This window comes from Homo sapiens, chromosome 11 (genome assembly GCF_000001405.40).
Source record: "Homo sapiens chromosome 11, GRCh38.p14 Primary Assembly".
Taxonomy (NCBI): domain Eukaryota; kingdom Metazoa; phylum Chordata; class Mammalia; order Primates; family Hominidae; genus Homo; species Homo sapiens.
The window spans coordinates 66,614,182-66,641,108 of record NC_000011.10 but is presented as its reverse complement, the minus strand read 5'-3'; the positions used below and the strand labels follow the sequence as shown (position 1 = coordinate 66,641,108).

At 48.9% G+C, this 26,927-nt stretch overlaps 3 protein-coding genes and 1 pseudogene across 8 annotated transcripts in view, besides 7 other annotated features; 1 reads left to right on the top strand and 3 right to left on the bottom strand.

The window, feature by feature from the left end:
- RBM4 (RNA binding motif protein 4) overlaps positions 1–2,406 on the bottom strand; it is a 29,678-nt gene extending 27,272 nt beyond the window's left edge. For all 3 annotated transcript variants that reach the window (NM_001198844.2, NM_002896.4, NM_001198843.2), the window contains exons 1-2: positions 2,357–2,406; positions 986–1,409 (exon numbers count right to left, since the gene is read on the bottom strand). In NM_001198844.2, coding sequence (NP_001185773.1) covers positions 986–1,397 — 412 coding nt within the window. In that variant the 5' untranslated portion in view covers positions 1,398–1,409; positions 2,357–2,406. The remainder of the gene's footprint in view (positions 1–985; positions 1,410–2,356) is intronic.
- RBM14-RBM4 (RBM14-RBM4 readthrough) overlaps positions 1–24,479 on the bottom strand; it is a 29,839-nt gene extending 5,360 nt beyond the window's left edge. For both annotated transcript variants that reach the window (NM_001198845.2, NM_001198846.2), the window contains exon 1: positions 24,052–24,479. In NM_001198845.2, coding sequence (NP_001185774.1) covers positions 24,052–24,388 — 337 coding nt within the window. In that variant the 5' untranslated portion in view covers positions 24,389–24,479. The remainder of the gene's footprint in view (positions 1–24,051) is intronic.
- Positions 1,530–2,241: an enhancer, noted in NCBI's record as "H3K27ac hESC enhancer chr11:66406339-66407050 (GRCh37/hg19 assembly coordinates)". NCBI's record gives its function as "activates a minimal SCP1, AML or CMV promoter by ChIP-STARR-seq in primed H9 embryonic stem cells {active_cell/tissue: H9 hESC(primed)}" and the evidence as "EXISTENCE:reporter gene assay evidence [ECO:0000049][PMID:30033119]".
- Positions 1,530–2,955: a biological region, named in NCBI's record as "hESC enhancers GRCh37_chr11:66405625-66406338 and GRCh37_chr11:66406339-66407050".
- Positions 2,108–2,477: an enhancer, noted in NCBI's record as "active region_5055". NCBI's record gives its function as "activates an Ori minimal core promoter by ATAC-STARR-seq in GM12878 lymphoblastoid cells {active_cell/tissue: GM12878}" and the evidence as "EXISTENCE:reporter gene assay evidence [ECO:0000049][PMID:35858748]".
- Positions 2,242–2,955: an enhancer, noted in NCBI's record as "H3K27ac-H3K4me1 hESC enhancer chr11:66405625-66406338 (GRCh37/hg19 assembly coordinates)". NCBI's record gives its function as "activates a minimal SCP1, AML or CMV promoter by ChIP-STARR-seq in primed H9 embryonic stem cells {active_cell/tissue: H9 hESC(primed)}" and the evidence as "EXISTENCE:reporter gene assay evidence [ECO:0000049][PMID:30033119]".
- RBM14 (RNA binding motif protein 14) lies at positions 11,175–24,479 on the bottom strand. Of its 3 annotated transcripts, none has more exons than NM_006328.4 (3): positions 24,052–24,479; positions 15,431–16,895; positions 11,175–14,648 (listed from the first exon to the last, which is right to left on the bottom strand). In NM_006328.4, the coding sequence occupies exons 1-3, from the start codon at positions 24,386–24,388 to the stop codon at positions 14,441–14,443; spliced, it is 2,010 nt and encodes a 669-aa protein (NP_006319.1). In that variant the 5' UTR covers positions 24,389–24,479; the 3' UTR covers positions 11,175–14,440. The 3 variants fall into 3 exon arrangements, with proteins under 3 accessions (NP_006319.1, NP_001185765.1, NP_001185766.1); NM_001198836.2 differs by having other exon boundaries at positions 16,785–16,895; NM_001198837.2 differs by lacking the exon at positions 15,431–16,895.
- Positions 23,596–24,529: an enhancer, noted in NCBI's record as "NANOG-H3K27ac-H3K4me1 hESC enhancer chr11:66384051-66384984 (GRCh37/hg19 assembly coordinates)". NCBI's record gives its function as "activates a minimal SCP1, AML or CMV promoter by ChIP-STARR-seq in primed H9 embryonic stem cells {active_cell/tissue: H9 hESC(primed)}" and the evidence as "EXISTENCE:reporter gene assay evidence [ECO:0000049][PMID:30033119]".
- Positions 24,234–24,463: an enhancer, noted in NCBI's record as "active region_5054". NCBI's record gives its function as "activates an Ori minimal core promoter by ATAC-STARR-seq in GM12878 lymphoblastoid cells {active_cell/tissue: GM12878}" and the evidence as "EXISTENCE:reporter gene assay evidence [ECO:0000049][PMID:35858748]".
- Positions 24,894–25,003: an enhancer, noted in NCBI's record as "active region_5053". NCBI's record gives its function as "activates an Ori minimal core promoter by ATAC-STARR-seq in GM12878 lymphoblastoid cells {active_cell/tissue: GM12878}" and the evidence as "EXISTENCE:reporter gene assay evidence [ECO:0000049][PMID:35858748]".
- RNU4-39P (RNA, U4 small nuclear 39, pseudogene) lies at positions 26,019–26,145 on the top strand (annotated as a pseudogene).

Genomic DNA, 26,927 nt, shown 5'->3' with positions numbered 1-26,927 from the left:
ACACTGGGAACCCAAAGGAGGTGAAAGAAGAGTTCAGATAGCAACTCACCATGATCACCACCCCTGAACTGCCACTGTTGCTTCAGACCTCAGATTTTGGAATATTTGCGTTCTACGTACCATTTTAGCATCCCAAATCTGAAAATTCAAAATCCAAAATGCTCTAACAAGCATTTCCTTTGAGCAACATGTAGGCATTCAAAATGCTGGGGATTTGAGATGCTTCCAAATGAAGTGACAATCCACATATCACCCATGCTGCCCTCCAGGCACAAAAGATTCATTTGGTTAAGACTCCAAGATAACACAAATCTAAGTGCTCTATTCACCAAAATCTTATAAAGTCCAGCCCCCCAAACCAATGAAAAGACAGTCATTACCGCCCCTAAAACCCCAGTGCCTCCTCCCCAGGAAGTCCTAAAATCAGCCTTGTAATTCTAGAGTGGCCTTAAACTCAAAATACAATCCCTTGGTACAGGTATAATATAAAAGCAACAAGAGCTGTAACCCTTTAAAGAGTTTGTGTAAGGTAGGACAGCTTAACAAGGATTCTGGTCCTATAAGTGTCGCTTGACATGTTTTTGAGAGGTTCTTCACGTAAAATGCAGAATTCTGATCCTGTGCTGAGGGCAATAAATTCAGAGTGAGGAACTCTGAACTGTGCTCTACTACAAAAAAATAAAAAATAAAAAAGGCCCAGTAACTCAGAAAGCCTTCAAAGAAAAGGGTTTCTGCACTGATAAGCACAAAAGCCGTAGGGGCTCCAAATAAAAGGTGAGTGGCTTTTCTCCAGGAGACATTTGCCTAAGGTAAAGCCCCTAAGTCCCATGCATTCTACATCATAAGAAGTCCATCACCCACACTTATTTCTTCATCACCAGCCAGCCAACAGCTGTTATCTTTACCAAACCTCTCCTTTTACTTATCCAACCATTTTCTGCACACAGCCTTGTGTTCAGCCCTCTACCCAAAGAGGGTGGTTCACCTTGAAACTCTGTGTTATCAAGGCCCCTGATGGCCTCCACTGCATCCTCTGCCCGCTCCATGTGTACGAAGGCATAATCTTTCACGATGTCACATTCGATGACCGGACCATACTCCTCAAACTTGGCTCGAAGCTCCTTATTGGTGCAGGTGGGACTGATGTTGCCCACATGCAACTTTGTTGAGGTTTTGCTCTTATTCTTGCTGGCTTCCACGTTGATGTTCACCCCATGAAGCTTGTAATGGTGCAGGTTGCGTATGGCATCCTCAGCTGCCGTCTTGTCTTCTATGTGCACAAAGCCGTAATTCTTAATGATGTCACATTCCAGCACCTTCCCATACTGCTCGAAGAGTGAGCGAATCTCCTGCTCTGTAGCCTCCCGGGGCAGGTTTCCGATGAACAGCTTCACCATCCTGACAAGAGCCTGGGAGAGAAAAACAAGACATCTGACAAAAGACCTCAGGCCCACATCCGTTCACAAAAGACAACGACTTTCACTCTAATGTATATTTCCAGTTTTCTCTCTCACACGCCTGCACACACACCTCCACACAATAATCAAATGGAAGTGGGAGTGAACTAAGGCCTGCTATAGTAGCCGCCATGAACCTGTAAGAATAAGAAGACGTCTGCAATAGGGAGGTCCTTAGTAGACAAAGGGTTTGGTAAGAACCGATACCTTCCAACAGAAATGGGCATGAAAGACAGCATATGAAGAAATGGGGGTACTAGGCTTTTCTATCCACTAGGAGGACAACAGAAAACAAAAGTCTACTAGGCTTGCTGACTGCCTGCCTGAAATTATCAACAGGCTTTTCCTCACGTAGGAACCAAAGCAGCCATCATTTCCGGGAAAATGGGCCTTGTAATAGCTACATTTGAGTTTCCTTTGGAAGTAATGAACGCGCGACTCGGATCAGACAGCGAGGAGTGGGAGATAAAGGAAATACTGGAGTGGTGAACGCCTCTCTCGGGGCACCGTCCTAGCTCCTGCCGAACACTGAAATGCGCGGCCGCGGAAAAGAGCTTCAGATTCATTAACCAGACGATGTCTCACGGCCCGAGAAATTCCCGAAACGAGAATGTAACTGTCAGATATAAGGGAAAGGGGGTTATCCCAGTGGAAATCTCGAGGCTCCAAGAGCAGCCATGTCGGGCGCGGGACAGGGTGGGCGAAAAAAAGCAAGGTATTCTCAGGGGGCGGTGGGGGAAGGGCTGCTCCCGGCTTACCGCGCAATGCCGAGGACCGAGGTCGGCTCTCAGTGACGGGTGTGGAGACTGCGGACCTACCAGGACACCCCCGAAGCCCAAGGGAGTGAGAGAAGATTTAACACAGTACAAGAAAGGCAGTGGAAAGGCTCGGAGTCTCACCCGCACAGAAACCAGCAGGGCCTCCTCCTCGCGGCGCGGACGCTTCTGACAAAACGCTAAAATGGCGGCGGCCGCAGCAGTGCTCTGAGTAGAAGGGGGAGGTGAGCCTACAACCGGATTGGCCACTCAAGAAAGTAAAAGGCCGGCGTTCCCTCAGATCCTCTTCCTGATTGGTTACCACGGACGCCAATTACCTAAGAGGCCGGCAAGAGGTGGAAACGTCTGTAACCTCGGAGCTTTTATGCGAAAGCCAATGGGCACCAACCTCGCGAAGCCGAACTCGCTGATTGGGCAAGAGATCAGCGTGAGGGCGGACCTACAAACGTGGGCTTCGCCGGCGGGGTGCGGCCCGCCATTAGGCGGAGCGAGCTAGAGCCCCGGGGTAGCAGTCTTTAGCTTCATGGCGCCAACTTCGTTAAGCTTCCACATTTCGCCACCTCCACGTGCACAGCCAGACAGTATTCCGCGCTCCATTTTGCCGTTCACTCTAGGTGTCTCCCTCTAACCTCCCAAGCACCACCCCCCCTCGCGGCCAGGACGCTGTGGAAATAGCTTATGCAGGCACATGCCAGGGAAGAAAAACAACGAAGACCCCCCCCAACCCACCACCCACCACTTCAGGAAACCAACCTTCTCCTTGGGCCAGCAGTCCACACTGTAGCCTTGAGAGTCCCGGAGCTCCCCCAAAATCAAACCTCTCACAGGTGGTGAAAGGACCTCTGTAATGGCCTTCCAGAAGTAGGCCCGGCAGGAGGCTGCACTGTCCAGGAGACGCTGAGGACAAGTTCCCTCTGGGAACCAGCCTCCCAGGGTCCGCGATGAAGAAACCTTTCTGAGACCATGGAGATTTAAAGTATACCCCGACCCCACCCTGAGAAAAAACTGGAGCAGCAAAGGTTTTTTTGTTTTATTTTATTGGGCGCCATCAGCCAGAGCTGTTTTAATCCCCTAGAACCGACTTTAGAGGACAGAGCTTAGTCACAACCAGCTGTAAACAAAATACAAAGTAACATTCTCCAGAGGGTCCAGCTGCTGCCTCGTTTTCTCTCATCCTTAGGCTGCTTCATATTCATTAAGCAAGCAACTTTAGTCAAGACCCTTTGCGAAGCAGCTTTTGAAAAGGGTTAAAAGGTGGAGTGCAGGGACTGGATGGAAGAACTTATAACACGAACAAAACAGGCTAAAAGCAGTGCAGAGTTTATGAGGAAAGGGATCATCAGGAGTGAAGATGACACAAGTACCACACACCACCATCCAAAGCAGCTTCTTCACCACCACCCCCGCCCCAAAAAGAGAACGGTTTCATAAAGAGAAAGGTGAAGTCAGAGTTTGGGGGGGAAAAAAAAGAGTGGGTTTTAAAACCCAACACGAGGGCCAGGTGCGGTGGCCCACGCCTGTAATCCCAGCACTTTGGGAGGCCGAGGCGGGCGGATCACCTGAGGTCAGGAGTTCAAGACCAGCCTAGCCAACATGGTGAACGCCATCTCCACTAAAAATACAAAAATTAGCCCAATGTGGTGGCAGGCCCCTGTAATCCCAGCTACTCAGGAGGCTGAGGCAGGAGAATCGCTTGAACCCGGGAGGCAGAGGTTGCAGTGAGGCAAGACAAGAGTGGCCTGGACGACAAGAGTGAAACTAAAAAAAAAAAAAACCCAACATGATTCAGGAATCTGACTGCAGAAAACTGGTCAATAATTTATCCTAGGGTAGAAAAAGCTAAGGAACTAAAAAAAGAAAATATAACATTTACAGATGTGTTGGTCACTAATCTTGTCCACTTCATTGTGGATTCTGATGCACCTCTGAGCCTGTGTAAAGGCCACGGGATCAGTGATGAAGAAAATCAATTTCGTCTCAGCTGCCACGTGCCCTTCAGAGGTGGCCAGCATTAGAAGGTAACGCATATGGTATAGAAATCCTCTCATCTCCTTCAGTTAGATCTCTTGTCTCAACATGTCTGGGGATAAAACTTTCTTCCAAAATACCAAAGTATAACAAGGATCAACTCATTGTAAGTAATAATCTCTCCAGATTGAAGGAGACTGGGAACATAAATCTCAGGATCACAGTTCAAGCCCAGTGTGCGGACATCAAAACTACTAACCACCTCTGCATGCAGCCCAAAACCTAATTACTTGATTTGACCTCTGAAACCCAACTAGGTCTAGTTAGCTATGTAACACTTTACAAGCTCATCCTGAATGAACCGCATTAAATAATCTCCCTGCCTTTTTTTGAGACAGTTCTTGCAGTGTCACCCAGAGTGGAGTACAGTGGCACTATCCATAGCTCACTGCAGCCTGGAACTCCTCAGCCTCCCAAGTAGCTGTGACTACACGTGTGTGCCACCAGGCCTCTCTATTTTTTTAATTTATTATAGAGACGAACTCTTTGTTGCCCAGACCGGTCTGAAATGCCTGCGCTCAGAAGCAATCCTCTCGGCCGGGCACGGTGGCTCACGCCTGTAATCCCAGCACTTTGGGAGGCCGAGGTGGGCAGATCACCTGAGGTTAGGAGTTCAAAACCAGCATGTCCAACATGGTGAAACCCTGTCTCTACTAAAAATACAAAAAAAATTAGCCAGGCATGGTGGCACGCGCCTGTAATCCCAGCTACCAGGGAGGCTGAGGCAGGAGAATTGCTTGAACCGTGGGGGCGGAGGTTGCAGTGAACTGAGATCACGCCACTGCACTCCAGCCTGGGCAACAGAGTGAGACTCCGTCTCAAAAACAAAACCCACAAAACTATGGCAATTGTTAACATATAATAAGCAAGGATTATGAGAATAGTACTTGGGGTGGTTTAATTTAGAAAAAAGGCTGGATAATAGCCAATAAATTTCCTGCCTTTTTAAGAGACCAGGTCATGCTGTCACCCAGACTGGAGTGCGGTGTCACAATCACAGGTCACTAAAGCCTTGATCTCCTGGGCTCAAGTGTTCCTCCTGTCTCTGCCTCCCAAGTAGCTGGGATTACAGGTGTGTGCCACCACACATGGCTAACTTTTTTTTAATTTTTGGGAGATGAGGTCTCTATGTTGCTCAGGCTGGTCTTGAACTCCTGGGCCCAAAAATAATCCTCCCACCTCAGCCTCTCAAAAGTGTTGAGATTACAGGCCTGAGATTACATGCCCAGACTTGGATTTTTTTTTTTTTTTTTTTTTTTTTTTTGAGACAGAGTCTCCTCTGTCGCCAAGACTGGAGTGCAGTGGTGCAATCTCGGCCTCCCAGGTTCAAGCAATTCTCCTGCCTCGGCCTCCTAAGTAGCTGGGATTACAGGCGCACACTTCCACGGCTGGCTAATTTTGGTATTTTTAGTAGAGACGGAGTTTCACCGTGTTGATCAGGCTGGTCTCCTGACCTCATGATCTGCCCACCTTGGCCTCCCAAAGCGTTGAGATTACAGGCGTGAGCCATCGCGTCTGGCCTAGTTTTTTTTTTTTTAAGGCAATTGAAATAAATTCAAGCGGCCAGGCGCGGTGGCTCACGCCTGTAATCCCAGCACTTTGGGAGGCTGAGGCGGGCAGATCACCTGAGGTCCAGAGTTCGAGACCAGCCTGACCAACATGGAGAAACCCCGTCTCTACTAAAAATACAAAATTAGGTGGACGTGGTGGCGCATGCCTGTAATCCCAGCTACTCCAGAGGCTGAGGCAGGAGAATGGCTTGAACCGGGAGGCGGAGATTGCTGTGAGCCGAGATCGCGCCATTGCACTCCAGCCTGGGCTACAAGAGTGAAACTCCATCTCAAAAAATAAATAAATAAATAAATTCAAACTCCTCTCCTTGCACCGTTAAGACCTTACCCCAATCTGGTTCTTGCCGGAATTTCCCAATATGTTTCTAACAACCACCGCCCTTGACCACCAGCTGTGCTCCCTTCAGACATACTGGCCTTATCCCAAGCTCATTTAGACTAGAATATTCTTTATTCAGGTTCTTACACCAGCCACCGATCTAAAAACATCACCCACCCCAACCCTACCTTGGAACTCTATCCTATGACTCCATGTTGTCTTTCTGAATACTTACTACCACTTGAAATCCTATACTTATTCTAAAAAAGCCTGTTATTAATTCTATATTATATCCTCAGTGTTAGAACTGTACTTGGCACATGGTAAGACCCTCAAATATTTGTTGACTAAGTTAACAAGTAAATGAATGAATGAATGTATGAGTTAACTTCTTGATAGCCGAAAGGAGGGAAATGACTTCGGATCTTCAGTCACTATCAGGTTAAAAACCTGGACACTTATCAGTACTGAAAACACGCACCTTTACTCATCACCTAGTACATGTTCCAGTCTTCCTCAAACAGAAAAGCAGGTACCCAACAGCCAGAGGTAACCCAAGCTAACAGATTTTGATCACCACTTTGACAACTGGAACAAAATGAAGCTTTGGGTAGAGAAGTTTGTAGTTCAAGTGTCTTCATACTGATATACACCTACCTGTATTTTACTGAGTACTAAAAGAACTTAATGCTTGCCCCTTAAAAAAAATATTTTTAACTAAAAGGCCAATTAATCCGGGCGCAGTGGCTCATGCCTGTAATCCCATCACTTTGGGAGGCTGAGATGGGCAGATCACCTGAGGTCGGGAGTTCGAGACCAGCCTGACCAACATGGAGGAACCTCATCTCTACTAAAAAAAAAAAAAAAAAAATACAAAATTAGCCGGGCGTGGTGGCGCATGCCTGTAATCCCAGCTACTAGGGAGTCTGAGGCAGGAGAATCACTTGAACTCAGGAGGCGTAAGTTGCAGTGAGCCGAGATCGCACCACTACACTCCAGCCTGGGCAACAAGAGCAAAACTCTGTCTCAAAAAATAAATAAATAAATAAAGGCCAATTAAAGAGATCTGATCCAAATCCTCTGCCTTACCAGCTCAACTACAGAGAATGACATCAAAAGAGATGTTTTATTTATTTATTTATCTGAGAAGGAGTTTTGCACTTGTTGCCCAGGCTGGAGTGCAATGGCACTATCTCGGCTCACAGAAAACCTCCACCTCCGGGATTCAAGGGATTCTCCTGCCTCAGCCTCCTAAGTAGCTGAAATTACAGGCATGCGCCACCACGCCTGGCTAATTTTGTACATTTAGTAGAAGAGGGGTTTTGCCACGTTGGCCAGGCTGGTGTCAAACTCCAGACCTCTGGTGATCCACCCGCCTCAGCCTCCCAAAGTGCTGGAATTACAGGCGTGAGCCACCATACCTGGCAAAAGGGATGTTTTAAAACCACCTTGTTGGTCGGGCACAGTGTCTCATGCCTTCAATCCCGGCACTTTGGGAGGTCAAGGCAGGTGGAGTTCGAGGCCAGCCTGGGCAACATGGAGAAACCCTGTCTCTACTAAAAATACAAAAAAATTAGCTGGGTGTGGTGGTGCACACCTGTAGTTCCAGCCACTTGGGAGGCTGAGGTGGGAGAATCACCTGAGCTCAGGAGGCAGAGGCTGCAGTGAGCCAAGATCATGCCACTGCACTCCATCCAGCCTCAGGAACCAGAGAGACCATCTGAAAAAATTAAAATAAGTAAATAAAAGCACCTTGTCTGGAACACGGTAGATGCTATTTTGGTGATTCTTAATTTGCTGACTAGGCTACCAAGCTCCTCAGAGGTAAAGTGACTTGTCCAGTCATCTAGAAAGCTGACATTTTTTCAGAGCCAAGAATAAATATGTAATCTGGCTGCCAATCTTCAATAAAAAGGGCAGTGTATACAGAAATATAACTGAGAAATAAGAGATGAGACTCTCGGAAATGAGGGACAGATACAAACTTAGGGTTAAACACTGGTGACAGTGAAAACTACTTAGACATAAAAATGCAAACTATATGAGTTTTTTTTTTTCTTTTTTTGAGACGGAGTCTCACTCTGCCGCCCAGGCAGCCGTACAGTGGCTCAGTCTTGGCTCACTGCAACCTCTGCCTCCCAGGTTCAAGCGATTCTTATGCCTCAGCCTCCCGAGTAGCTGGGATTACAGGCACACGCCACCACGCCTGGCTGATTTTTTGTATTTTTAGTACAGACGGGGTTTCACCATGTTGGCCAGGCTGGTCTTGAACTCCTGACCTCAGGTGATCTGCCTGCCTCAGCCTCCCAAAGTGCTGGGATTACAGGCGTAAGCCACCATGCCCAGTCCAATCTGAGTTTTACAGGCTCAAGGACAAATATGTAACTTAAACATCTTAATATAACTTATACATCTAATAAATAACTCTGGCTCCTGGTCCAGAAATGAGTTACAGTTCTGCTAAGGGTGCAAACTAAAAATCCAGCATTCTCCAGGGATGTTCAATGGGCATCAGGCAGAAGGCTTCCTAGGCCTCCAATCCTACAGCCAATGCAACCTCTTAGCCTTCCTTAATGTCTTTGAAAATCCCCTACACTATCAATAACCTTTATTCTCCATATCCACAAGAATTGCTCCCAGGACACAAAATAGTATTGCCAGAGACTGGAGGTGGCCAAAATTGATGTGGTACAGTAGCCAAATCACTTCTAGGTATCGCTAATTACAAATATTCACTGCCTTCACTACTAGAAGTATGTGCTGCACTCACACCTATATCCAAAATCTTTGGATCAGCTGTGTGCTGCTCTACTAGGCCATCCCAGTGTCCCCAGAATGTTCTAACTCATTTATATGAGATGGCTAACATTTCATGAGAAGTGACTACATACACGTGTCACATGTCCTCATTTGACTCTCCCAACAGCCGTATAGCATAACGATTATAAACAAAGCCCTAGATGGTTCCAATGTCTGGTTCAGTTCCTTGAGCCACCAACTTTGTAGCCATTTGATCTTAAGAATGGCCAGGCATGGTGGCTCACACCCGTAATCCCAGCACTCTGAGAGGCCGAGTGGGAGGATCATTTGAGGTCAGGAGTTCGAGACCAGCCTGGCCAATATGGTAAAACCCCATCTCTACTAAAAATAGAAAAATTAGCTGGGTGTAGTGGTGCATCCCTGTAGTCCCAGCTACTCAGGAGGCTGAGGCAGAATTGCTTGAACCCAGGAGGTTGCAGTGAGCCAAGATCGCACCACTGCACTCCTCCCTGGGTGACACGAGACTCCATCAAAAAAAAAAAAAAGAATAGTCACTTAACCAACAGCCTCAACTCCCATATTTCCAAAATAGGTTTAGAAATAGCTAATGTTGGCCAGGCGTAGTGGCTCACGCCTGTAATCCAAGCACTTTGGGAGGCCAAGGCGGGCAGATCACGAGGTCAGGAGATCGAGACCATCCTGGCTAACACGGTGAAACCCCATCTCTACCAAAAATACAAAAATTAGCCAGGCGAGGTGGTGGCAGGCACCTGTAGTCCCAGCTACTCGGGAGGCTGAGGCAGAAGAATGGCGTAAACCCGGGAGGCGGAGCTTGTAGTGAGCCAAGATCGCACCACTGCACTCCAGCCTGGGCGACAGAGCAAGACTCCGACTCAAAAAAAAAAAGAAATAGCTAATGTTGGCAGGGCATGGTGGCTCACACCTGCAATCCCAGCACTTTGGGAGGCCGAGGCAAGTGGATCACCTGAGGTCAGGAGTTCAAGACCAGCCTGGCCAACATGGTGAAATCCTGTCTCTACTAAAAATACAAAAATTAGCTGGGCGTGATAGCGGGCGCCTGTAATCCCATCTACTAGGGAGGCTGAGGCAGGAGAATCACTTGAACCCAGGAGGCAGAGGTTGCAGTGAGCTGAAATTGCGCCACTGTACTCCTGCCTGGGTGACAAGAGCAAGACTCCATCTTAAAAAAAAAAAAAAAAGAAATAGCTAACACGTGAATTGCTATGAAGATTAATATAATTGTGTTGGCTACACTAATATAAATTTAGTTTGTTGTATTAATATATTTAATTTACTGTAGTTAGCTATTATCCTCATTTTATAGGTAACAAAATAGAGGCAGCGTTCCTAATATGTCCAAGATCACACAGCCAAGAAGAGGGAGAGCCAGGATTCAAATTCAGGAAACCTCCTGTAGTCCCAGCTACTTGGGAGCCTGAGGTAGGAAGATCACTTGAGCCACGTGTTCAAGTGTAGCCTAGGCAACACAGTGAGACCCTCTTAAAAAAAAAAAAAAAACTTAAACTGATTAAAGAGACAACAGTCACTCTTGTCTATACCAAGTCGGTTTACTTTTTTGTTGTTGTTTTTATGTTTTCCTCAGACGGGGTTTTACTCTGTTGCCCAGGCTGGAGTGCAGTGGCATGATCTTAGCTCACTGCAAACTCCACCTCCCAGGCTCAAGAGATCCTCCAGCCTCAGCTGGACTACAGGCACTACTGGTACGTACCACCACGGCTGGCTAGTTTTTTATTTTTTGTACAGATGAAGTTTACCCATGTAGCCCAGGCTGGTCTTGAACTCCTGGACTCAAAAGGATCCAACCACCCCGGCCTCCCAAAGTGCTAGGATTACAAACGTGAGCCATGACACCTGCCCCAAGTCGGTTTTTAAATCAAATCATTTCTCCAAAAAATTTAACTACCTGGGATTACTGCCACATCCTCTCCCTCCTTACCTACCATTTGCCTATCAATACTTATTCATATAAACTCGCTCACTGAGGTAGGTCCTGCCTCCCAGACAATAAATCCCTCAAGGTCAGCCCAAAGCCTGCCTCAGCTAGCTGAGCAAGGCATTTGTTTGTTTGTTTATTTGAGACAGGGTCTTGCTGTGTCATACAGGCTGAAGTGCAGTCGCATGATCATAGTTCACTATAACCTCCAACTCCTGAGTTCAAGCAATCCTCTTGCTTCAGCCTCCCAAGTGGCTAGAACTACAGGTGCATGCCACCACAGCTGGCTTTTTTTTTTCTTTTCTTTTGGTAGAGACAAGGTCTCACCGTATTGCCGAAGCTGGTCTCAAAATCCTGGCCTCTAGCAATCCTCTTGCCTCAAATTCCCAAAGCGCTGGGAATTACAGGTGTGAGCTACCACACCTGGCCACATTTGAAGCACTACAGACAGATACATGATTTAAATCTAGACATAAAACCCAGTTTTAAGAATTATTTTCTGGAAAACTATAGACTTTTACCCTTTATGACCTTTCAAAGGTACCTATAGATTGTAAAATTCAGTTTTCCATCTGTTACATAGTATATACTAGGTCCATAAATCCAGTAAATCTGTTTTCATGATGACCTCATCCATCCCATGATGTCCACCTATTTGGCTTAATAGGACAATATGCCTGGAGGACCAACCGTCTGTGCAGACTGTGGCAGAATTTAAGTGATGGGTATGACTAGAACGGTAGCCTACCTGGATAGGCTGAACCCCTCAGTGATAGTCCCATTACCTCCATTACAAGAGAGTCTCAAGCCCACCATGCACACAATTTAAAACAAGGTCCAAACCTCAGAAGAGGGCAGGCTGACAAGGCTAAAAGCCTCTAGGTGGTCTTGTTCCAGGAATAAGCCAACTAAAACTTCTCCAATGAAGGCCAAGTTGTAGAGGTGATAGGTGGAGAAGCTGAATAATCTGAAGATAGAGAGTCCATTTTTCCAAAACACACATTCAGTGTCTGTCCTCCCATTCACTCAACCTAACTTTCCCCAAGTTATAGAACTTGAAATCAGTAATCCACAAAGCAAAGAAGCAGGCTATAGGATTAACACAGGTGGCATAATTAAAATAAAAGAGGGGAGGGAGATTTTAAAACAATCTGCCAGAGAAAAATGACAAATGATTTGGCTTTGTAGCTCCTTCTGGCTTGAGCAGTTAGGAGCCTGAGGGCTGAGGCAGCAGGGGCAGCAGGACCTAAAGATGACAAGCAGGCAGAGCTCATCTGGGCCAGGTCACTTTCAAGAGCTGGGGCTGCAACACAGAACATCACCACTGGCCCTGAGAGCACATTTAGCTGTTTTTTGCAGGAACCAAGGGATTGAGACAGTGGCAGAACCCTCACTGGAGAAAAAGGAAGATGACAGAAAGCCACACTGACAAAGAAAAATTGCAAATACACAGGCCACAATCATAACCCTACCATCAACCCTCAATTTTCCAGGGTAATAACCAAAGGTAGGCTTATTAACTTGGCCCTCAGACCACCCCATCACCACGCAGAGAACAAGAAACTTATCAAAATCCTCCTCCCATGCTTTCCCAGTCCTGCAAAGAAATAAAAAGGAGCAGCTAAGCACCTGAAAGCAAAGCAGTGAGCAGAAAGAGAAGCAAGGGAAAGAGCCATGGCCCCAGTACTCCCTGAGATTACCCCAGTTAGCATCCACAAATAAGAACTCACGGTCATAAGATCGAATGCTTTTGCACGATGGCAAGAGGGAAGAGGACATCTAGGGCAAGATATTCTGTCACAGGCAAGTTCACATGAAGCCAGTGAAGGAGGCAGAAGATAACCCACCTGACCTCCACTTGACTAACACGTACACCTCCCCAGTCGCCTTGCCCCAGTAGGCTCCCAAATCGAGTCTTTAAAGCACCTTTTCCCAAAAGAGCATCAGTAAGTTCTCCCATTATCATCCCACTCAACCAGTCTTCCATTTACCCATCACTAAGCCCAAGCCTCCATTTTGTCCCTGGTTGGAAATGTCATATTTTTTGCCCAGATCCTCGATCCCCAGCCCTACAATAAAAGCACAGAAGAGTCCTCAATTCCCCACCCAACCCTAGCATCCCTATTTGGTTAGCTTGCACCCCACCCTTTCCCAGATTCTATACCTTCAAATATAAACCCAGCGAGAGGACATCTGAAAACCCTAACAGATAGGGATAGGTAAAGGAGTCTCCGGTGACTATAATGGCAGGGGTTGGCAGGACACAGGAGGATGCTCCATGGTACAGCTCAACAGGCAAAATACGAGCTCTATGGCCAGAATGCCCCATACCTGCTTCAAGTTTTCTCTGCCCTTCCTTATTCCAACCATAGGGCAGTATCAGGCAACGCCATTACCCCCACTCCACTACTGGTTCCTTTCTGGGTCCCAGCCCCAGCACTCATTCCAGCCTACTGCCTAAAGGATCTACTAGCCTGTAAATACCACAGCAGCCCATTCCCCACTTCCTAAGAGGCCAAACCCCAGAACCATCCCATTGGAACACAGGTTATTCCTGAACTGGAGAAAAGTCAGTGAAAATGGTCAAGCACAGGCAGAGGAAAATGGGCATCATTTACTGCATTTTGGTGTGACTAACTCAAGTTGAGGGCTGAGGACCAGGCCACCTGCCCTGGAAAGTCTGAAAGATGGCAGGCTAGCAGGACGACGATGAGCTAAATCCTTCTGGGCCACAGGGCAATCCTTCTAATTCCGACATTCAAACCCCTTTCCTCACCAGTCCTGGGTTCTCTGACTGCCTTCCCTTTAGCTATCATGTCTTCCTGGATGTCAAATTGGCTCCTTTGACACTGAATGCAATCAAGACAATGACAACCAGGTTTCCAAACTGCAAATTGCCCCAAGTTTTATTTGTAGTCCATACAAAAGGGAAAAAAAATTAAGGTTTTCTAACACCACCTACTTGGGGAGATGGGGAAGTGGGACTGTGCCGCTCACCATCAGCTAGAACATTAGTGGTCAGCAGGGACTTGGATACATACCAACTGACTGTCCCAACAGGAACTCAGTCTCAACAGTCTACAGAGGGACAGTCAGGGTACCCTGGACTGCTGGCACAGCTTGGCACATAGGAAATGGTTAAGCTGACCCTTTCCTGGCCTCCTTCCCATCTAAAAAGAAAAAGGCGCCGGCGACCTCAGCTGCAGGTTGCTTCCCCATCCAGACGACCTTAAATATCGCGCACAAAAATAAAAGGGAGCCAGGAAAAAAATAAAAACATAAAAGAAATTCCCATTCTGGGGAGACGGGAGGCAGGGTAGAGGGGAAACCGCAGATCTAGAGCCAGTAGCAAGATTTGCTGCTGAGGCGAAGGAACAAAGTAGGTTACTGCCGAACACTTAACAGGATCATCTCCTGGGGAAGGCCCACATGGTAGAGGGCATGAAAAACCACAACCAGGAAAGGTATGGGCCAGAGTAGTTATAACCTGGATCTGTAACCCTACCCACCTCTTTTCTCCCTCCCTCCCTGTGGTGCCCCATCCCAGGATGGCCCTACATGCGGCGCTGGTAGCCAGAGTGCATCTGAGCCGCCCGCAGGTAATCATTATAGGAGCCCGAATAGCGTGCGTAATCGGAATGGGCATCGGGCAGGCGACGGTAATCCAGCGAGGACTTTGTCGGCGAGCGGCGGAACGAAAGCTGCGACTCTGATAAACGGCGGTAATCAGAGAGCTCGGCTAAACGCCGGTCGGAACCATACCTAGTCGAGAGAAGAAGACAGTTGGTGAATGAGACAATTGAGGGGAGGACTCCAGGTGGGCATTGGGGAGATGCCAATGGGGACAGGGAGGGTGTGATCACAGTGGTCTCCAAGAGATTGGTCTCCTTTTGTCAGAAGGCTCATCACCCTATCCAGGCCAAAAAAATCAAGCCTGGCTTCAACTCAGTGGGAAATCAAACCCTCCACTGAAGTCCTCCCCTCTGAACTAGCCAAGGTGGATTTTGGTCTACATTCCCACACCACAGCAAACTATCTCCGCCCCTGGGCCCTGCAGAGAAAGACCTTGGTTGTTTATCAACAGAACGGCGGATGAAAGCGAGGTCCCCAACTTCCCAGAGTGGACGCACCTCGTAAACTTGCCTTTAGCCAGTGAATGCCAAAGGGACTACTCTTTAACCCACATCCCTGCCAAAGCCAGGACAACCACGTAATAGGCTTAAGGATCCTTGAGACAGTGGGAAAGGATATGGGCCACAGTCCTGCAGGCAGTAGCTCCAATGACACTTGGGCTAGCCTAGACAGGTGACACTGTGCCTGGCCTGACTAGCAGGTACCACCCCAGGCTGAGCACTATGCTCCACCTGAACCCTGGTGACCAGGAAAGTTCATAGACACTGCTCCCCTCGGCCTCTGGACATCCCACAAAAATAGAGAAGAGAAGACCGAGGGAGGGGCCGATGCCTCCAGTTTCCCTCCCATGCCAACCTCAGCCCCTTGCCCTAAGCCCCAGCTGGGGGCAGAGGCGGGGGGGCATACAGTACCTTTTCGACATGGCGACAGCCTTTTTGTAGGGATCGTCGTAGCTGGCCCGGGGTGGGGAGAGGCGGGTACGCTCATAGGGCGGCGGGGTGCTGTTGGCGTTGGCAACGGCCCCCTGGGACATGGACAGGTAGGCTGCAGACGGCTGACCTGCCCCATCGTAGGCATTGCCTGGCTGGCCGCGGTAGGAGGCAGCAGCCTGGGGATGCTGCTGGGCAGCATAGGAAGCAGCCAATGAGGCTGATGACTGAGTGCGGTAAGGAGCTGCCAGGGTGGCAGAAGGTTGGGCCCCGTAGGCTGCTGCGGCACCATAGGAGCCAGTGGCCGCAGCAGCCGACTGAGCCCCATAGGAGCCTGAAAGGCCCATTGATGCTTGGGCCCCGTAACTATTCAGCTGGGTCTGCACAACCGGCTGGGCCCCATAGGAGCCAGCCATTGGGGTAGTGGCTTGTGCGGCGTAGGCTGCTGGCTGGCTGGCATAGGCAGCAGCTGTGGCTGGCTGTGCCACATAGGCAGCAGGTTGGGAAGAGTAGGAAGCAGCCTGCTGTGCAGCATATGGGGCAGACTGGGCATTGTAAGAGGCCGAGGGCTGGGCATTATATGAAGCTGCCTGGGCTCCATAAGCTAGTGAGGAGGCTGCAGACTGGGCCCCATAGGAGGCTGCCTGAGCCCCGTAGGAGCCTAAGGAGGAAGCTGCTCCCTGGGTGTTGTAGGAAGAAGCAGCTGCACGAACCCCATAGGAAGAGGCAGCCTGGGCGCCGTAAGAGGATGGCTGGTTACCATAGGAGGCAAGGGAGGAACCCTGAGCCCCATAGGAGTTGAGCGAAGAAGCTGCAGCTGCCTGACCCCCATAGGAGGAAAGGGCCGAGGCTGAGGGCTGGGCTCCACCATATGGGCCGAGTGAAGAAGCTGCAGCAGACTGGGAGCTAGGACTAGCCAGCTGGCCCCTGTATGGTGCCCCAAGGGAGACAGAGGGCTGAGCGCGGTAAGAGGCTGCCTGGGCTGTCATGGGCTGAGTCCGATAGCCAACACCCAAAGAGGCAGAAGGCTGGGCCCTGTAGGCAGCTCCCAGTGACACGGACGGCTGGGCCCGGTAGGTAGCTGGCTGGGCCGTCAGAGGAGCCACATAAGAGGCTCGGGGAGGTGAACGGCGCAGAGGGCTGCGGTCGCGACCAAAGAAGGGTGGTGTGGGCTGACGGGCTTGCCCATCAAAGCCACCAGTGCTGTTGCCAAAAGCCTGCTGGTAGTCGAAGGTGGCAGAGAAGCCACCAGTTCCAGGGAAGGCCGTATCCCCAGCCCCTGGTTTCTTGGTCTTGTCCCCAGACTGGACAGCCAGGCCAGGCCCCTTCTTCTGACCCTTGGTGGAGAGTTCCACGTTGATGCGCTTGCCCTTCACTTCTTTGCCGTTGAGCTGCGCGATTGCGGCTTTGGCATCTGCTTCCTTCTCCATGTGAACAAACGCGTAGTCTGATAAAGCAGCAGACAGAGGGTTAGCAATTAGGGGGGCAGGGCATGCTACCTGATGGGTCCCAAATTGGACACACAACAGCACCCAGCTGTTGCCAGCTACCTCCAAGGCCTCCAAACCCTCCTCTCCAGGAGTATGTCATAAAATGTAGCTCCCATATAACAAAGCTTCTGACTGTCCCAAGCAGTCATCTTTGCCTACAGCCTTCTTCCCATTCTCCCCTTTACAAACCCTGCCATCTCACCCAACTTCCTGGTGAGAGAAGAAGGAGCAAAGATGAACTGCAACACAGGATAAAAATCTTCACATCTCCTGTAAGTACAAACCAGCAGAACAAAATGCAGAAAGCGTTCCTAGATCACTCAGTTCTTCAGTGTTCTCAACCCAAACTCACCAAACACCTTTGAGGCCTAGCTCACTTTTGAGGCCTAACTCTCAAACACTGGAAATGACCACTCACGTTTTGGTATGACCCATCTCTCAGCCCATGTCCAATTAAGGCAAGAGAGATAGACTGCAACAAGCAAGCAGTTCACAACATTCCAATATGATCTCTCCGCTTTTTCACAGTACTTCCCAAGTTTTCAAAGCACTCTTAGGTACAGGAGGACCTCATTTGGGCCTCACAATCCTGTGAGGTAGGCAGGGCAAAGAATCATTACCTCCATTTAACAGGTGGACATACATGCTCAAGAGTTTTTATATGGCTTGCCCCACTCAAAGTGTGTTAGAGTCAGGACCAGAATCACAGCTCTTCCAATGCCCCTTTGCTACATAATCTATCCCTGAGAAGTCAAGGTATAAGGCAGGACTGTGTAATATGACTAAAAATTTAGGCTTAGAAGCAGAGAAGATGGACCCTGTGTAAGCCAATGAGGTATGGGAATAGAAACTAAGCCCACTGGCTGAGTTCATGCCCAATCCCCCTGTCCCAGACCACACTGCATCCTCCACTGTTTCCTCTTTAAGGGACAGAGGTATACCTTACACCTTGGGCTTCTGTTCACAGAGCAGACTGCTTACCAGAAAGATCTGGTTTCTCACCTATAAGGTATGAAGCTGCAATTACTGCAGCTAACAGGCTCTGCTAACCAGGTTACCCCTGCAGCTCTCATTATGACCTGAATAAGCTGTGGTAGGAGAAGACAGGATGCCGGTCTCAAAGCTATACTTATCTACTACACAGAAGGAGAAAACTTCAGGGAATGAAGGAATGGAAAGAAATTCTCATGTCCACACTCACAAAGCACAGGCAGAATCTGAAGGAGAGAATCCTGCCCCTAGGAAATAAGGCTCTAAGCTTAGCTCCATTCTCGACCTGTGGCTACTCTTAGATAGCATCCAAGTACCAGGATGCTATCTGTCACATCAGCTTAAGAAACAAAGAGCTACCCAGATGACAATACTAAGATAAGAAACATTCTTAATAACCTCCAAACAAGGGTCCTCATTTTTAGAAACTTTCGTACTGGGATGCCTTATCTAGCTGCTCCTACAGAACAAGTCATTTCCCTGGATTTGAAGACAATGACACAAGACTAAGGATAATGGGGAAAAAATGCAATCAATAAGTAGAAGTCAGAAGTGTGGCATAGCACAAAAGGGATCCTTAATTAGAAATTCAATGGTCTCAGTTCCAGACCCAGGTATCACTGACTTGTTATAAGATCTTAGGAAACTTACCATTTAGGCAGGTACAGGGGCTCATGCCAGGGCTTTGGGAGGCCAAGGCAGGCAGATCACCTGAGATCAGGAGTTCAAGATCAGCCTGACCAACATGGTGAAACCCTGTCTCTACTAAAAATACAAAAATTAGCTAGGTGTGGTGGTGCACACCTATAATTCCAGCTACTCAGGAGGCTCTGGGGCAGGAGAATCACTTGAACCTGGGAGGTGGAAGTTGCAGTGAGCCGAAATGGCACCACCGTACTCCAGTCTGGGTGACACAGCAAGACTCCATTTCAAAAAAAAAAAAAAAGAAAAAAAGAAAAGAAACTAGCCAAGCACGGTGGCTCACGCATGTAATCCCAACACTTTAGGAAGCCCAGGTGGGTGGATCACCTGAGGTCAGGAATTCCAGACCAGCCTGGCCAACATGGTGAAACCACGTCTCTACTAAAAATACAAAAATTACCAGGGCGTGGTGGCTGGCACCTGTAATCCCAGCTACTCCAGAGGCTGAGGGAGGAGAATCACTTGAACCCGGAAGAAAAAGAAGGAGGCTGCAGTGAGCCAAGATCACTGCACTCCAGCCTGGGTGACAAGCGCAAAACTCCGTCTCAAAAAAAATAAAAAGAAACTTACCATGTATTTCCTCCGACACATCTATCCTACCTACCTCAAAGTTAAGAGGTTCAAGAGAAAAGACAAAAGTGCCTTGTAAGATATGAACAGCTACAGAATAAGGAATTATGATTATTCAAACCTAGAAATAACCAGAGATTTATTTCCCTATAGAATATTATCTTTCATCTCAAGCAAAACACAATGCCATGCAAACTTAGAAGCTGGCACAGACGATAAAAGAACACAATGAGACCAGGCGCAATGACTCACACCATAATCCCAGCACTTTGGGGAGGCCGAGGCAGGCGGACCACCTGAGGTCAGGAGTTCAAGACCAGCCTGACCAACAAGGTGAAACGCCGTCTTTACTAAAAATATTAAATTAGCCGGCTGTGGTGGCATGTGCCTGTAATCCCAGCTACTCAAGAAGCCGAGGCAGGAGAATCACTTTAACCCGGGAGGCGGAGGTTGCAGTGAGCCAAGATCGTGCCACTGTACTCCAGCCTGGGCAAAAAGGATGAAACTCCCTCTCAAAAAAAAAAAAGAACAAAATGAATTATCACAACTCTGTCCTCAACACTCCCATGGCCAGAGCCTTATCTACCACCTGTGAAAAGCTACGTGTTTCCTTTGGCCTAGGCATAAGGCACTAAAGTTGTCCTGTGATCCTTCATCTCCACTTTGAATAGAGTAAGCTTAAAAAAAAAACACAAAAAACCAGCATGTGGCCTAAGAGCCCTTTAAAAGCAGAGGCTGGGCCAGGAATGGTGGCTCCCTCCTGTAATCCTAATACTTTGGGAGACTGAGGTGGAAGGATGGCTTGAGCTCAGGAGGTCAAGACTACAGTGAGCCACAATCACGCCACTGCACTCTGGCCTGAGCAACAAAGCGAGACCCTAAAGAATGAATAAATATTTTAAAAAATCTTTAAATAAAAAATAAAAATAAAACCAGAGGCTGAGGTAATCCTCGGGAATAGCAAAACCACCTGGAGATGGCAAGCAGAAAGGCCCAAAGTGAAGGGGAAGCAGAGTTGCTGGAGCTCATAGGCACTTGTTGCAGGGAGGGGCCTCCAGACATTCTGAGGGAATATTAAGGAACAATTCTAACAGTCCTGATTATTCTATCCACAACTTCCTGACACTAGAATGAGACAAAAACTTCCATGGGCTTACAAGAGCATTTGGACATCCCACTGTCTGTTTCCCTCCTTAGTGAGTTTTATTCAGACCAAGTGGTGAAATCTGAAAATTGAGATTTCACATGTATGATTCAAATGACTACCCAAATGAGTTTTATAACTGATCAAAAAATTTAAAAATCCAAGCCGGGCATGGTGGCTCACACCTGTAATCCCAACACTTTGGGAGGCCGAGGCAGGAAGATCACCTGAGGTCAGGAGTTCAAGACCAGCCTGGCCAACATAGTGAAACCCTGTCTCTACTAAAAATTCAAAAATTAGCCAGGTGTGGTGGCCTGTAGACCCAGCTACTTGAGAGGCTGAGGCAGGAGAATTGCTTGAACCCAGGAGACGGAGGTTGCAGTGAGCCAAGATCTCACCACTGCACTCCAGCCTGGGCAACAGAATGAGACTCTGTCTCATAAAAAAAAATAATAAATATATAAATAACATAAAAATAAATACAAAATTTAAAAATCCATCTGATACAATTATAACCAAATTGTATCAGGAAGTTTCTAAGCCTGACACTGGAGGGGAAAAGTGTGAATAGGTTGCCCAGCTAACTCAACTGCATCCTGTAGTGATAAGCCCCATCACAGTAAGTGCAAAGCACAGACCTAGCTAGATTAAAGATGCCCTAACACCCAAGTACTCCTAAGACCATTAAAACCAGAGATCTGAAAAATTCCAGGAACCTTCTTGCCCACAGATCTAATTCAAGGAAACTCTGAAGGAAATCACTGCATTGGGACTATCAAGTAATGTTTTACAGAGATCTCCAAATGGTCTGGTGGCATCACAAGTCCTCCAGTAACAAAGTTAAGTGAATCCAGAAAAACAAGTTCTCCTATCTTAAGACTAAAAATCTTAAACTTGAGGGCTAGGCGCGGTGGCTTGCGCCTGTAATCCCAGCACTTTGGGAGGCTGAGGCAGGCGGATCACAAGGTCAGGAGATCGAGACCATCCTGGCTAACACAGTGAAACCCCGTCTCTACTAAAAATACAAAAAATTAGCTGGGTGTGGTGGCGGGCGCCTGTAGTCCCAGCTACTCGGGAGGCTGAGGCAGGAGAATGGCGTGAACCCAGGAGGCGGAGCTTGCAGTGAGCCGAGATGGCGCCAGTGCACTCCAGCCTGGGCGACAGAGCCAGACTCCGTCTAAAAAAAAAAAAAAAGAAAAAGAAAAAATCTTAAACTTGAAACTACAGAGCTCTGTATAGGAAGAAGAAACAGTCACTCACAAAAATGAAGAGAAGATATTTTCCTCTTTTGTCTTTCAGATCTCCCCACAAGTCTGTACATGTTTCCGGAAGCTGTTCATCTTTGAACACCCAATAGGAGGAAGCTGTGGAGTGGTTACAATCCACTGTTGCTATTGAGATTTCTGTTCTACAAATCCTATCTAAGCTCCTGGAGTAACCAAGCAACTATGTTGTTTTTTTTTCCTGTGAAATAAAACAGAGCTGGTTGTCTGGTGCAACACCAAGCTTCTGTGCTTTTCAAAGCCCTGTCAGCCAACACAAGGAGACTCAATCAAATGACCATTCCCAGCATAAGAAATGAGTACGCTCTTTAGAGAGCCAGTCGCTTCTACTACACTCCCAACTTTCAACCCTCACTTTCCGTCATCACAAACAGATAAAAAGACATCAGTGGAGGATATGATGTTCAAATCTTTCCCAGTCTCTTACATCGAAGTATGTCAGGAGCTCTGTTACACAACAATGTAACTGCAAATAGTTGACCACCACTCCCGGAGTAAGTCAATGCATTTTTGCTAATCAAATGTTTACAAAGGAACAAGATGCACAAAACTCCGTCTAACTCTCACAAGGAGTCAGCCAGGAGTTCTAAAAATTCATGTGCAGTTATGCACTTCACCCGCATCGTCACTTGGTGTTGGGTCCCAAGCAAATTTCAGGCAAATTTTTGACTTTCTCTACCACCTGAAAGCCAGCAAGAAGCCTGAGTTCCAGGGAGACTGTCCCTTCAGATGTTTGACTCTAGACTCTCAACCTAGTAGCCACTCTACCTAACAACCACAAAAGAAACTTGGTAAGTCAATTAAACACAAAACTCTCACAAATGAGACTCATATACCCCACCCTTTTGCTGGACAAGTACCCAATCTGAGACCCTCCCCCACCACTCTTTTACTCTAAACAAAAGCAAAAATCCATGCACCATACAGCCTGCCTCAGAGCACCCAGCAGGAAAGCCCGATTCCGGATAGTCGTGGACTTGTATAACCTGAGTTGAGGAAAATAGAATGCAGTATTAATGCAGAACAAGGACTTGTTCCTAGTAGTGGACACTATGACCCTTTATATTTCCCCCACTTAAAGGACTAGGAATGGCCCCAAACATGTGCCTTTCCAGGACAGCAAATGAAATATCTTGGTGGGATAAATAAGCACTTGCACCCACATTTATTTCCTATCCCTGAAACTTCTCACACAGGGTATGAGCAGGTATGAACCCACCAGGAGTAGGGCATCAGATACTCCCAGGCTGCATCTTCCAAAATGACAGGGCAAAGTTAACTCTGATCTGTTCCCAAGTGGAGCAGAGACTGGCCACATACACAACGGCTGTCCCACCAAATCTTGCCAATGTAAAAGATAAAGAGCTTAAGGGATAAAAACTCAAGCTATGAAAAAGTCAACTGGGTCCCTAGTCAGGCTTAAATTATGGTGACACATTTTTCTCGAAGAAAAGGCACCGGGATCTGCCCTGAGAATCAGACTACTCAAGCAATGACTACTACTGATTCAGTAAACCGTGTTTAGCCACTGTTTAATGAAGAGCTCTCACAGACCCCTCCCCAGGACCCCCTCAGCCAGAGTATGCCCCCCTGCAAAGTCACCAAGCTTATAAAAGAATGACACTGCCCTAGGGCACTGGCTTGGCATGTAAAGACTACGCAGAAGGGGACTTCATAAAACAAGCTTTCTTGCACATGCAAAAGGCTGGGGTTTCCAGTTGACAGATGTAAAATCGAGCCCAAAGAAAAACCCCAAGTTTGAGGGAGGAGAAAAGCACAGAGCTGCCACGCCTAACCTACCTAATATTGAAAGGCCAAAGTGATTCGGAAGGGGCCCCTCTCGTACCCACGTGTAACTGTGCCCATGAGTAGACCCATGCCAGACAAGACTAAAAGACCCCAGCCCGAGAAACGTCCAAGGGCCCCGTTACCTTCCGCTTGAGCACATTCATCGGGAGGGAACAGGAGGGCGGCCTTGGGGCGTCAGCCCCCACCTTTTCCCTCTTCCCTTGCTCTGACCGACGTCTGGAGAGGAAGTGGGGAAGTGGAGAAATCTTCCCCGCTTCATGATCCGGCTTGTGCCCGTCACTTCCCAATTTCCGCTGGGTGCCAGGCCCAGGAGACCAGGAGAAGGCGCGCCCCCGGAACACTCGCAAGGCTCTCAGGCGCGTCCCCGGCCCCGTAGCTTGGCTCGCAGTGGCCGCCGCACCCACCCAGAGCCGCTTCCTCCTACTTGGTGGACGGTTCCTGGACCGCAGGGGAGGAGGGTGGCTCTACCCAACGCGCCCCCAACACCTCCGACCTGCTCCCGCGCACTTCCCCACCCCTCCCAACCGCGCAGTGACCGACCCCCGGGTAAGGGGCGTGGCTAACAGGCAGAGTGCCCCGAGCGCGCCCCCGCCCCCGAGCGCGCCTCCGCGTTACCTTTCACCACGTCACACTCGATGACGCGTCCGCGGCGCTCGAAGAGGCTGCGCAGTTCCTGGCTCGTGCATGCAGCCGACACATTGCCCACGAAAATCTTCCAAGTATTAAGAGGCCTTGGGCGCGACATCTCCACCACGAGCGCGCGCCCCGGCCGCAGCTCGTGGCCGTGCAGGGCTTCGATGGCGCGCAGCGCGCCCGCGTTCTCGCGCATGTGCACGAAGGCGAACTGTTTCATGACGGCGCAGCTCATGACCGTGCCGTAGGGCGCAAAGAGGGCTGCCAGCTCCTCCGGAGTCGTATCCGCCCCGTCGACGTTGCCCACGAATATCTTCATTTTGTCGCCGCAGCCACCTTCCTGGAGAGCCCGGACCTCTCCTCCAGCGACAGGCAAGACGTCCGAACGACCGGCAGTCCTCCTCAGGAATGGCTGGCGACCGAGAACCCCGCCGCGCAGGCGCCCTGGCCTAGCCAATGGGGACTCGCATCCCGCGCGTCCAGCGACCAATCAGAAACGCTGAGGGAAGATGTGCTCAGGCACAGCCAATCCCAGAGGGCCTAGAGCCCGCTCGTTAGCTGAGGGGGTGGGAAAGGGACGACCAACCGCCACAGCCCGTGGCGGGAGAGGGGGTTGGGAAGAAGAGGGAGGGCTGAAGAGAGGAGAACGCGCGCGAGCGGCGCCGGCGGCAGAGAGGCCTAGTCTGTAAGGCGGTCTCTGGCCCGGGTGGGGCTGGGACCGGCGGGCTCCCAGGAAAACTTTGTACAATTGGAAGTCAGGGCTCCTCCCATTCTGGAAGCCCTGTCCAAACCCGCGCCTGGGGGTTGCCGCGTGAGTGTACGGGGGAAGGCCGGGCCTGGCGGGAGAAACCAGGACAGGCGCCTTGAGTCGGCAAACGGCTCCCAGGACTGTGCTGAGCACCGCGAGGGGACCTGAGGCAGGCCCCGGAGAAGCCCTCGTGCCATTAATTGATTCTTTGGAAACATTCCCTGGGGTTGCTGAGGTCCTGGCAGCCGGTGAAAAATCAAAGGCCTCTGCCCTGATGGAATTCCCAGTCAAGAAATAATGGAATGACGTTATTGTATGTTGAAGGTTTTCATAATAAACAGTTTAATAAACGAGAAAATTAATTCTGCAGGAAGCAAAAGTTGAGCCTTAAAAAAAATTTTAGTCCGGGAGCGGTGGCTCACGCCTGTAATTCCAGCACTTTGGGAGACCAAGGCAAGCAGATCACCGGAGGTCAGGAGTTCAGGACCAGCCTGGCCAAAATGGTGAAACCCCGTCTCTACTAAAAATACAAAATTAGCCGGGTGTGGTGGTGCGCGCCTGTAATCCCAGCTACTTGGGAGGCTGAGGCAGGAGAATCACTTGAACCCGGAAGGCGGAGGTTGCAGTGAGCCAAGATCACGCCACTGCACTCCAGCATGGGCGACAGTGAGATTCCGTCTCAAAAATTTTTTTAAACAGATTTGAGTATGTAAATAAGATTGTTGCATGGCAGACAACATCAAAAACATAGACATGTGACAAACTCAGGGAAATATTTGCCTACGTGTTCAGTCAACAAATAGCACCTACCATGTGGACACCACCAAGAATATAGCAGTGAACAAAAAAAAATGACAGAAATCCCAACCTTCTTGGATCTTATGGTGGGGAGAAACAGGCAAGAAATAAGTAAAACATAAGCGTGTTAGATGGTGATGAGGACTTGGAGTAATCAAGGGAACTAAGCCATCCTCTGAGGGAAGATCATGCCGGCCAGAAAGTACAAGTCAAAGAGTGCTGGGGCAGAAGCAAATCTGGTTCAAGGAAGAGTCAAGAGCCAGTATGGGCCAGGCCCGGTGGCTCACGCCTGTAATCCCAGCACTTTGGGAGGCTGAGGCGGGCGGATCACCTGAGGTCAAGAGTTCGAGACCAGTCTGACCAACATGGTAAAACCCTGTCTCTACTAAAACTACAAAACATTAGCTTTGCGCAGTGGCAGTATCATAGCCAATGAGGTTTATCCGAGGCGCAATTATTGCTAATTGAAAACAAAACATTAGCCATGCATGATGACTGGCACCTGTAATCCCAGCTACTCAGGAGGCTGAGGCATTAAAATCACTTGAACCCAGGAGGTGGAGGTTGCAGTGGGCTGAGATCACGCCACCACACTCCATCCTGGCCAACAGAGCAGGACTCTGTCTCCAAAAAAAAAAAAAAAAAAGAGCCCAATATGGCCAGAACCTGGAACAGAGAGCAGAATAGGAGGGTGGGAGTTGTGTAGCACAAGGCCATTGAAATGGCATGTGCTTGGGCCAGGCGAGGTGGCTCACGCCTGTAATCCCAGCACTTTGGGAGGCTGAGGCGGGCGGATCATGAGGTCAGGAGATGGAGACCATCCTGGCTAACACGGTGAAACCCCGTCTCTACTAAAATACAAAAAATTAGCCGGGCATGGTGGCGGGGGCCTGTAGTCCCAGCTACTAGGGAGGCTGAGGCAGGAGAATGGCGTGAACCCGGGAGTTGGAGCTTGCAGTGAGCCGAGATCGCGCCACTGCACTCCAGGCTGGGCGACAGAGCGAGACTCCGTCTCAAAAAAAAAAAAAAAAAGAAAGAAAGAAAGAAAGAAAAGGGGCACTACTCTGGTATCTCCTGAAATCCAAACTGCTGGCAGTATTCCCAGAACAGGATATCAGCAAACCCCTAGCTACCCAGTAAGGATAGCCATTTTATTTATTTATTTATTGAGACAGAGTTTCACTCTTGTCACCCTGGCTGTAGTGCAGTGGTGCTATCTCGGCTCACTGCAGCCTCCGCCTCCTGGGTTCAAGCAGTTTTCCCTGCCTCAGCCTCCCGAGTAGCTGCGATTACAGGCACGCACGCCACCACG

Excerpts from the sequence above, each read along its gene's own strand:
- RBM14 (NM_006328.4), bottom strand. The coding sequence starts at position 24,388 with ATGAAGATATTCGTGGGCAACGTCGACGGGGCGGATACGACTCCGGAG. Across the intron at positions 16,896-24,051 it reads CGAGTGTGACGTGGTGAAAG|ACTACGCGTTTGTTCACATG; the intron begins GTAACGCGGAGG and ends CTGCTTTATCAG. Across the intron at positions 14,649-15,430 it reads GCTGTCGCCATGTCGAAAAG|GTATGGTTCCGACCGGCGTT; the intron begins GTACTGTATGCC and ends TCTCTCGACTAG.